The sequence below is a fragment of the Homo sapiens genome, chromosome X, assembly GCF_000001405.40.
Source record: "Homo sapiens chromosome X, GRCh38.p14 Primary Assembly".
Classification (NCBI taxonomy): Eukaryota; Metazoa; Chordata; class Mammalia; order Primates; family Hominidae; genus Homo; species Homo sapiens.
In genome coordinates this window covers 72,269,385-72,278,885 of record NC_000023.11, presented here as the reverse complement: position 1 = coordinate 72,278,885, position 9,501 = coordinate 72,269,385, and the positions used below count along the sequence as shown (strand labels likewise).

Genomic DNA, 9,501 nt, shown 5'->3' with positions numbered 1-9,501 from the left:
ATCCTGGAGGTGCTCAGTTTGGTGGAGGCCAGGTAACTAAATTTGTCCTTGCTACCTAATGTGCTGTGTGCCCTCACCAAGTTTGAACACAAGCCTCTGGGGCAAGAATGAGGGATTTACCCTGACTGAGGGGACCACGAGCCCACAGAACCAGAGGGACTTGAACTGTGCATTTCCAAGGCTGAGGTGTGGGATTAGGTGGTACCCAGGAAGGGGGTTTGGCTGTTTGTGGCAGTTCCAAGCTAAGGAATCGAGTCCACAAGCAGTCTTGAAAGAGCTGACTCTAGCCAGGCGCAGTGGCTCAGGCCTGTAATCCCAGCACTTTGGGAGGTCGAGGCGGGCGGATCGCTTGAGTCCAGGAGTTTGAGACCAGCCTAGGTAACATGGCGAAACCCCGTCTCTACAAAAAAATAAAACTACAAAAAATTAGTTGGGTGCAGTGGCGTGCGCCTGTTGTCCCAGCTACTCGTGGGGGCTGAAGTGAGAGGATCGCTTGAGCCCGGGCTGTCTGTCGAGGCTGCAGTGAGCCATGCACTACAGCCTGGGTGACAGAGTGAGACCCTGTCTCCCAAACAAACAAACAAAAAGAGCTGACTCCCTCGGAACAAACTAGCTTGGTGGGGCTTGAGCTTTGAAGTTTGGGATTGGGGAGAGAGAGCAATGGAGCCAGATAAAGTTCAGACCTGCTCCCTTACGGCAGGAAACAGAGGGCCAAGGGCAGTTTCGAAGCAGGATCAGATCTACATTTTAGTTAGATATAACCAGACGATTTCTAATATCCTCTCTCCTCCCTGAGTCTCTATAAGTGCCAAATGCGTTGTACAGGAAGCAAGGGGGAGGATGTCAGAGTTCAAGCAGAGAAGCAAGAGGGGGTTAAAAACGTTGTTGGCTCTTCCCAACTCAGTATGGGCTGCCTGGCTGGCTCAAGGGAACACAAAAAAGGGACAGACAAAATACGTTTAAGAAATAACATTAAATATTTATTAAAATGTATTCTATTGATTATATACAAGTTCTTTGTTTTGTTTTGTTTTGTTTTGTTTTTGAGACGGAGTCTCGCTCTGTCGCCCAGGCTGGAGTGCAGTGGCGCGATCTCGGCTCACTGCAAGCTCCACCTCCGGGGTTCACGCCATTCTCCTGCCTCAGCTTCCCGAGTAGCTGGGACTACAGGCGCCCGCCACTATGCCCGGCTAATTTTTTTGTATTTTTTTTTAGTATAGACGGGGTTTCACTGTGTTAGCCAGGATGGTCTCGATCTCCTGACCTCATGATCCGCCCGCCTCGGCCTCCCAAAGTGCTGGGATTACAGGCGTAGAATCATCTGTACGTGAGACTGGAAGTAAGCTCACTTTGAACTCTCCTTGAGGCCAGGGATGTTGTGTAGCTCATCTTTGTATTCCCAGCACCTAGCACAGAATAAGGCACACAAGAGGCGCTCAGCAAATATGGGAGGAGGAAGGGCGGAAAAAGGGGAGGGAGGAAATCGCCCTTAGGAGACACCCTCTTTCCGCGGCGGTTCCTCAACTCGGGACTTCTGACCTCCCACCAGCAGATGGCAAGAAAGAGTCCCGGCGCGCCAGCAAAGGGCTGAGCTGGGCGGAGCAGCTGAAAATCCGGCGCGCGCAGTCTCCAGCCCCAATTTCTACGCGCACCGGAAGACGGAGGTCCTCTTTCCTTGCCTAACGCAGCCATGGTAAGCCGTTTAGTTAGCGAGCTCTTAGGACGTATCCGCCTCCATCCTCCCCCGGCCGGGGCTGCCCGAGGTTTCGGGATTCCTACTGGGGATGGCCGGGCAGAGGCGAAGGGATCACGGCCTCCGTGGTAGGCCGGGACGGGCTCCAGGGCGAAGGGCGAACGCTGGCCTAGGGTTGGGGAGGCGCAGATCTGGTGCTGCTGTTGGGAAGGCCTCGGTTTCTGACCCGGCCATACGTCCTGATCCCGGGAGAAGCTGCTTTTCCTCCCGGGCCGGAGCCGCGGCTGGGCCAGGAGCTCAGACTGCGAGCCCGAGGTTGGTGGGCGCTGGGGGTGCCCGGCGGAGAAAGGTTTTCTTTGTCATTGCCTTTTTGGCACGGCCTGACTTTACCATACGTGGCCGGTAAGCATCTGGACACAGCATTAAAAAGGCTTCCTTACTCTTTTTAAAGTAAAATTGGTGTCAGCTTTTGGCTTTAGTGTACGAAGGAGCAGCACATGTGTTTGTGCGGATGTCAGAATCTTGTTCCATACGTGTCAAAAACAGACGGTAATAAATTGTGAAAACTTTAGAAACACAGGTAGACTCCTGGCTCATTTCTGTTGCTGTGCGTTTCACTAGTATGGTGTTCTTGAAAGACCCTAACCTCTAAGCAGATACAGTTTCAAACAGTAACATGGAAACACTTTAGCAAGGTTCTGAAAGATAGTAATCAGTAAACGTTCTGAAACATAGTAACCAAGAATATTCTCTGTTACAATAAGAAGGCTTGTTGCAGCTTATGGATCTCACGGTGTTTGTTAAATAACTGTGTTTGTTTCTGTTTTATCGGAACACTATACTTTAATATTGTCCACATTTTGCTGAAGATGAAACTAAACTAAGAGTTTAGTTTCACACTAGGTTTTATAAGCTGTTCTGAAACCTGATTAACAGCATTGCAATCTAAAACTTTCAGGCTCGTGGTCCCAAGAAGCATCTGAAGCGGGTGGCAGCTCCAAAGCATTGGATGCTGGATAAATTGACCGGTGTGTTTGTAAGTATCTTATATAAATATTTCCGTGGCCACTGTTTTTAAGTGTCTCCCAGGACTCATTTGGGGACCAGGCTAGGGGAGGAATATCTATTCTTGGCTTCCTCTGCCCTTGAAGGAGCTATACTATCTAGCTGTCCTCCACTTCCAATCGATTTAATATTTTTGTGCCTCATTTATTCCACATACCACATAGTACATTTACATGGACTCAGGATTCATGTTCTTAATGATCCTGGTCCTCTGACAGGGAAGATGCTATAAAACTTTAAGGTATGAAATAGTTTTGGATGCTTTTTACACCTCCTGTGTAAAAGTCCAAGTTGGGTGTAATATGGACGGTCTTGGTGTTCAGTTAGTGGATCTGGTGGACTAGGAGGTAGGTTTGAGTGCTTTAGTGAATCCCAACAGTGATTATCATTTTTAACGTTACAGGCTCCTCGTCCATCCACCGGTCCCCACAAGTTGAGAGAGTGTCTCCCCCTCATCATTTTCCTGAGGAACAGACTTAAGTATGCCCTGACAGGAGATGAAGTAAAGAAGATTTGCATGCAGCGGTTCATTAAAATCGATGGCAAGGTCCGAACTGATATAACCTACCCTGCTGGATTCATGGGTAAGAAGTTTTAAATACTCTGGAGACGCATATTGATGGCAGCCCTATGGTATCCAAATACTGTCTTGATCATTTTTCTAACCTTTGTAATCTGTCAAGTCTCAGAAACAAAGCCTGACCTTCCCTCTGTTTTTTACTTAAATAAAAAACATGCAAATAATCATGAAACGCTTTTCAAAACTAAATTTCGATTCACTTTTAAATTTTACATGCAGTCATGGGGTTTTGAAATATTGAAGATCTGGCCGTGATCTTTAATCTTCAGAATCCTTGTTGGATTAGAACTGGGAGGCACATGGGGGTTCTTTTTGTTTCGTAGAGAGCTATGGTTGTTGCTCGGCATGAGGTAGTGGGGATCACTGTATGTAGTAACCGGTTACTGCTTGATTTCAGATGTCATCAGCATTGACAAGACGGGAGAGAATTTCCGTCTGATCTATGACACCAAGGGTCGCTTTGCTGTACATCGTATTACACCTGAGGAGGCCAAGGTGAGTGTGGCAAGCAAGCTGGGTCTTTACTCAGTATAGTTACTTTGTTCTAAGGGCCTGCATTGAGTACGAGTGCTGCTTGCAATGAGGTGGGTATTGATTAGTTAAAATCTCATACCTGGAAATATCTAGCTAACAATTCGATGAGATTCTGTCTTACATGTAACTTTTTGTCATGTTATTAAAAGTCTGGCTGATAGCTGTAGGGCATTGATGGATACCTAAAATTGGCCCCCATTTGAAGTTAACTTCCTCAGCAGATTTTCTTTTTTTGTGGTAGAAATGAATTCCAGTTGAACCGCGACTTCCTGGTGTCTCTTAAGAGTCAAGGAGAATGATTTCTGGGAACTTGTTTATTGGGTACCTGACGTAGGAGCCCTTTGCCATGTCTCCATTTGTGGGAGTAGCTTTACTTTGGGGAGGGGAAGGTGTCGATGGAGGAAACAGACAGTCCTTGAGGCACTAGTTTGAGGTTTAAAAAAAGATTACAGTCTTTGATTATTTAATCCAGTTTGTTTTGATGGTTTTACACAAAAGTTTAGGGCTGTTTGGATTATTGGCTGTAAATGAAGGTTAATTTAATTGACTGATGTGGCTCCTAATTTCCTTTTGCACAGCCTTGTTAACAGCAGACTGGAGGGCACGTCCAGTGGGATCTGTGATTATTTGATTTACTTCAAGGATATCAGGGAGTAGAGATCCAAAATTGAAATGCTATGTGAAGTATTTGTTGATTGGATGAACTGGTAATGTAATTGCTGTTTGTGAGACAAAACTCAGTCGTGATGTACAGGGAGCCATTAAGATAAAGTTGAGTTGAAGGGAAGAATTCCCAGGGCCCCATAAGGCTTAAAGAGCCTGGGAAACTGGAGTGGCATTTACATTGGAGGAGTGGAGGGCAATGGTGGATGTTAGGAGGACGAGCCTAGAGAAGGGCTTTATGCAACATACACTTGAGGGTGGAAAGAACGATCAGCGTCACAATTAATCTGCAGCAGTTAGGGAACCCATGGTTCCTGTATAGGGTTAAAAAGTACATGTGAGATGGATTGAATGTGGCTAACCCTTGTATTTTTCTAGTACAAGTTGTGCAAAGTGAGAAAGATCTTTGTGGGCACAAAAGGAATCCCTCATCTGGTGACTCATGATGCCCGCACCATCCGCTACCCCGATCCCCTCATCAAGGTGAATGATACCATTCAGATTGATTTGGAGACTGGCAAGATTACTGATTTCATCAAGTTCGACACTGGTAAGCATCCTCTGTGCTACCTGGGCACCCTCTTTAAGGCCTAGATCATTATGAATTGCACAGGGTCTGGGTATCTTTATTAAAAACCATCTGCTCCAATCGCCCAGGTGTGTTTATAGCCAGAGGCACAAATGCTCAGAATACTCATTTCTTTTCTTTAAATTGTTTGTTTTTTATAGAGGAGGGTCTTACTGTGTTGCCCAGACTGTTCTCGAACTGATTATAGGTGTGAGCCACCAAGCCTGGCCACAAAATTTCTTACGAGAGTCCCGGGAGTCCTAGCATAGGCAGCAGTTCCATATGAGGAAATTCAAATGGGGGGAAAGGAGGAATAAAATTTGTTTGGACCCATCTCTGAGCTGCTTGTCATTTGTTATATTGAGTTGAAGCAGATTATTTCTTCCTGCCTAGGTAACCTGTGTATGGTGACTGGAGGTGCTAACCTAGGAAGAATTGGTGTGATCACCAACAGAGAGAGGCACCCTGGATCTTTTGACGTGGTTCACGTGAAAGATGCCAATGGCAACAGCTTTGCCACTCGACTTTCCAACATTTTTGTTATTGGCAAGGTAAGTCTGGGTTTTCCTTCTCTCTAGTCTGAGGAAATATGTAAATGCAGGTGGCTGCTGGGATTGTAGCATCCAGGCTCCTGGCTGGCTCTGCTGAACCTAGTGCAAAGCCTCTTCTGGATAGGACTCACGCAGAGCTGGGCTGAGTCATAATGATTAGCCTTAGGTACTACTAAACTTTGACTCACTTGAATAAATGGTAGGTGCCTGCTATGCACAATAAACTTCTAAGACATTAATTCTGAAGGGCATACGGTGAGTTTCATAGGACAGCCCCAGAAACCCAAGCAGTGGGTGCTTTTGGTAACCAGCATCTGTGTCTTGCAACTGCCTAGCTGATGCCAAGCACTCTCACAAACAGGCTTCAGTTCTGTTAAGTGAGGTGACAAATGTAGCATGTGCCAAGCCACTATGAGTTGGTGTGTGGTGGGTTTTGATTCTGCTTGTTTTCTCTTCCAGGGCAACAAACCATGGATTTCTCTTCCCCGAGGAAAGGGTATCCGCCTCACCATTGCTGAAGAGAGAGACAAAAGACTGGCGGCCAAACAGAGCAGTGGGTGAAATGGGTCCCTGGGTGACATGTCAGATCTTTGTACGTAATTAAAAATATTGTGGCAGGATTAATAGCATTTTGGTTTTGTGGGTTGTTTTTTTTTTTAATTCAGTTTCCTGCTATTTTACTGTATAACATGAACAGTGATTAAGTTCTCAGGCAGGCTTAGGCAGTCTGTTATTGGCTGGGCTTAGTTAGTGGTGGGAAGTAGAAGATACCAGACTTGGGAAAGGAACAGCAACTAACCAAGGAGTAGAAAGAGCCAAGAAATCCCGGAGTATTTATCTCCCCCGCCTTGACTTGGCCAAGAACTTCTCTACACAGTGGACCCCTCTGCCCTGTTAAGTTCCCTTGGCTTTCTAAAAATCTGCCCTCATTTTCTTCTCCAGTCTGTATTGCACTAGCCCATCCACAAGCCTGGCTCATCTGTTTTTCCCACTCCTGTGCCCATCTTGCCAAACGCAGGATGAAAATCTCCAGTTGCCATTAAAGGTGGTCATAAATGGGCTGTTGATGTTGCAAAGCATTGCAGTTCCTTGGACTTAGTGCCCTTATTCTCCAGCTGCCGCTGCAGTCCTCAACTCTGTTTTTCAGAGGACAGAGATGTAGAACATAAACTTGTTCTTGCTTGTCCAAATGTGTCGGGTCATGTCAGGCTTGCTTACCAGTCTCAGGAAGATGTGCCCCTGCTTCATGGGGCCTGCTGTTACACACCTGTTCCTCAATCCAGTCCCTCCAGTCTCAGTGTCAATTATCCTACCTTGTGATTTCAACCTTCTCTCAACCAACTCTCTTGTTCCTGTTACCCTATAAAGCATGTCTTCCTGTTAAAAACGAAAACCTCCCTTGCCACCTATAGCAGGGCTTTTCAACTTTGATACTGTTAACATTTGGGGCTACATAATTTGTGGGCAGCTGTCCTGTTTATTGTGGAATGTTTAACAACATTCCTAGCCTCTATCCACTAGATATTCACCCCCCACCCCCTGAGTTGTAATACAAAAATTACTTCAGACACTGCTAAATGCCCTCTGAGAAGCAAAGTTGCCCTGTGTTGAGAGGTACTGCCTTGTAGATGCTGTATCTCAGGTCACCTTCATTTAGCACCTTGCACTTAACTTGCTGTAGACCACTCAGGCTTAATCATCCCACCATCACAGGTTTAGGGGAGAAAATCAGTTGCGTTTTGGACATCTTTAAGATAAACATGTGAAGTCACTTGGCATATTTAGCTGGGAATGTTAAATGGTCCCTGTTTCCCAGGTGTATGGTTTAGCAGTGGATAAGAGGCCTGTAGAGGCACTGTGGCTTAGGGCAGTATCTCTACCCCTGGCAGCATCCTGGACTTTGAGTCAGCAGACTACTTGGTCTTGCCAGAGAAAATCAGCTAAAGGAGGCATGCCCAGGGGTCCCTGAAGCCCAGATTTGGTCCCATAGGGCTTCTCTGCCATTCATATTGCAGACGCCAAAGCATGACTGGCTGGGGTCCCATTCACTTTTTTTTTTTTTTTTTTTTTTTTTTTTTTTTTAAAGACAGCGTCTTGCTCTGTCACCCAGGCTGGAGTGCAATGGTTCAGTCATAGCTCATTGCAGCTTCAAACTCCTGGGCTCAAGCGATCCTCCAGCCGCAGCCTCCTGAGTAACTGGGACTATGGGCACGCACTGTGATGCCAAATTAATTTAATTAATTTGTTTCTGTAGAGAAGGTCTTGCTACATTGCCCACGCCAGTCTTGAATTCCTGGGCTCAAGTGGTCCTCCCACCTTGGCCTCCCAAAGTGCTGGGATTACACGTGTGAGCCACTGTACCTGGGCCAGAAAAGGAATTTCTGCAGGGACTGGGCCCCCCTGAATCAGGGATGGGAAAGGTGTGTAAGTGGGCTTGCCAGGTATCTTGCTTTAAGAATGGTTCTCTTGTCAAGAGAATGGAGCTCATCCTTGTTCTGTTGAGGCCAGGTCAGAAGTAACCTTATGGTGCCCTTCAGAAACAGGCAGGTGAGCCGGGCGTGGTGACTCACACCTATAATCCCAGCACTGAGAGAGGCCAAAGCAGGTGGATCGACTGAGCCCAGGAGTTTGAAACTAGCCTGCATAACATGGCAAAACCTTGTCTACCAAAAATTAGCCGGGCATGGTGTCATGCATCTTTGGTCCCAGCTATTTGGGAGGCTGAGGTGGGAAGATCACTGGAGCCTGGGGAATGGAGGTTGCAGTGAGCCATTATTGTGCTACTGTACTCCAGCCTGGGTGAGAGTGAAACCCTGTCTTAAAACAGACAGGCGAGACTATGAAAGGCCAGAGGGCAGGACTCCAGCCAGTCACCTGGATGCAGGGTCCTGAATGCTGGTAGGCTCTTGGTGCTACACTACTCAACACATCCTTGGCTACACTTTGCACCTTTCTAGGTACTAAAATCTCTGCTCAGCAGATGATAGAAATGTGAATTTTAGCTAAGGGACCAAAGCAAATATGGAGGAAAATGAGAAGCCTCAGAGTTCCTTTCACATATATGATGGTTTCCTAGATGTTAATTGGTGAGCCAGTCAGCACAACTGGAGAATTGGTGTGTTCAGCTGTGGTCTCGTATCACAGGGAGATGTGGGGTTTTGTTTATTTTATTTTATTTTATTTTTTGGAGACAGGATCTCACTTTGTCACCCAGGCTGGAGTGCAGTGGCAGGATATGACTCACTGCAGCCTTGACGTCCCAGGCTCAAGTGATCCTCCCACCTCAGCTCCCTGAGTAGATGGGACTACAGGAGCACACCACCATGCCTGGCTAATTTTTTGTTTTTTTGTAGAGATTGGGGTCTTGCTATATTGCCCAGGCTGGTCTCAAACTCCTGGGCTCAAGTGGTCCTCTCAAAGTGCTGGGATTACAAGCAAGAACCACTGAGCCTAGCCTGGGAGATTTCTTTTCAACATTTTAAACTTGTGATTTTTTAATGTATTTGTTAAACTAGCACAGGGATTTTTTTGTTTTGTTTATTTTGAGACAGAGTTTCGCTCTTGTTGCCCAGGCTGGAGTGCAATGGCGTGATCTCGGCCCAGGGTAGCCTCCGCCTCCCAGGTTTAAGCGTTTCTCCTGTCTCAGCCTCCTGAGTAGCTGGGATTACAGGCATGTGCCACCACGCCTGGCTAATTTTGTGTTTTTAGTAGAGATGGGGTTTCTCCATGTTGGTCCAGCTGGTCTTGAATACCCAGCCTCAGGTGATCTGCCCACCTTGGCCTTCCAAAGTGCTGGGATTACAGGCATGAGCACGGCACTCGGCCGGGAATTTTTTTTTTACTAGCA

The 9,501-nt window shown here is 46.6% G+C and overlaps 1 protein-coding gene across 1 annotated transcript, besides 2 other annotated features; it reads left to right on the top strand.

The window, feature by feature from the left end:
- Window positions 1,638-6,844, top strand: RPS4X (ribosomal protein S4 X-linked). The gene is made up of 7 exons (NM_001007.5): window positions 1,638-1,693; window positions 2,652-2,729; window positions 3,162-3,342; window positions 3,736-3,833; window positions 4,914-5,085; window positions 5,497-5,654; window positions 6,114-6,844. Exons 1-7 carry the CDS (start codon window positions 1,691-1,693, stop codon window positions 6,213-6,215), a joined length of 792 nt encoding a protein of 263 aa, NP_000998.1. The 5' UTR covers window positions 1,638-1,690; the 3' UTR covers window positions 6,216-6,844.
- Window positions 1,819-1,888: an enhancer, noted in NCBI's record as "active region_29758". NCBI's record gives its function as "activates an Ori minimal core promoter by ATAC-STARR-seq in GM12878 lymphoblastoid cells {active_cell/tissue: GM12878}" and the evidence as "EXISTENCE:reporter gene assay evidence [ECO:0000049][PMID:35858748]".
- Window positions 2,059-2,138: an enhancer, noted in NCBI's record as "active region_29757". NCBI's record gives its function as "activates an Ori minimal core promoter by ATAC-STARR-seq in GM12878 lymphoblastoid cells {active_cell/tissue: GM12878}" and the evidence as "EXISTENCE:reporter gene assay evidence [ECO:0000049][PMID:35858748]".

Bases quoted from the DNA above. Each gene is read 5' to 3' on its own strand.
- RPS4X (NM_001007.5), top strand. The intron at 2,730-3,161 runs GTAAGTATCTTA...TTAACGTTACAG, and splicing joins ATAAATTGACCGGTGTGTTT to GCTCCTCGTCCATCCACCGG. The intron at 5,655-6,113 runs GTAAGTCTGGGT...TTTCTCTTCCAG, and splicing joins ACATTTTTGTTATTGGCAAG to GGCAACAAACCATGGATTTC.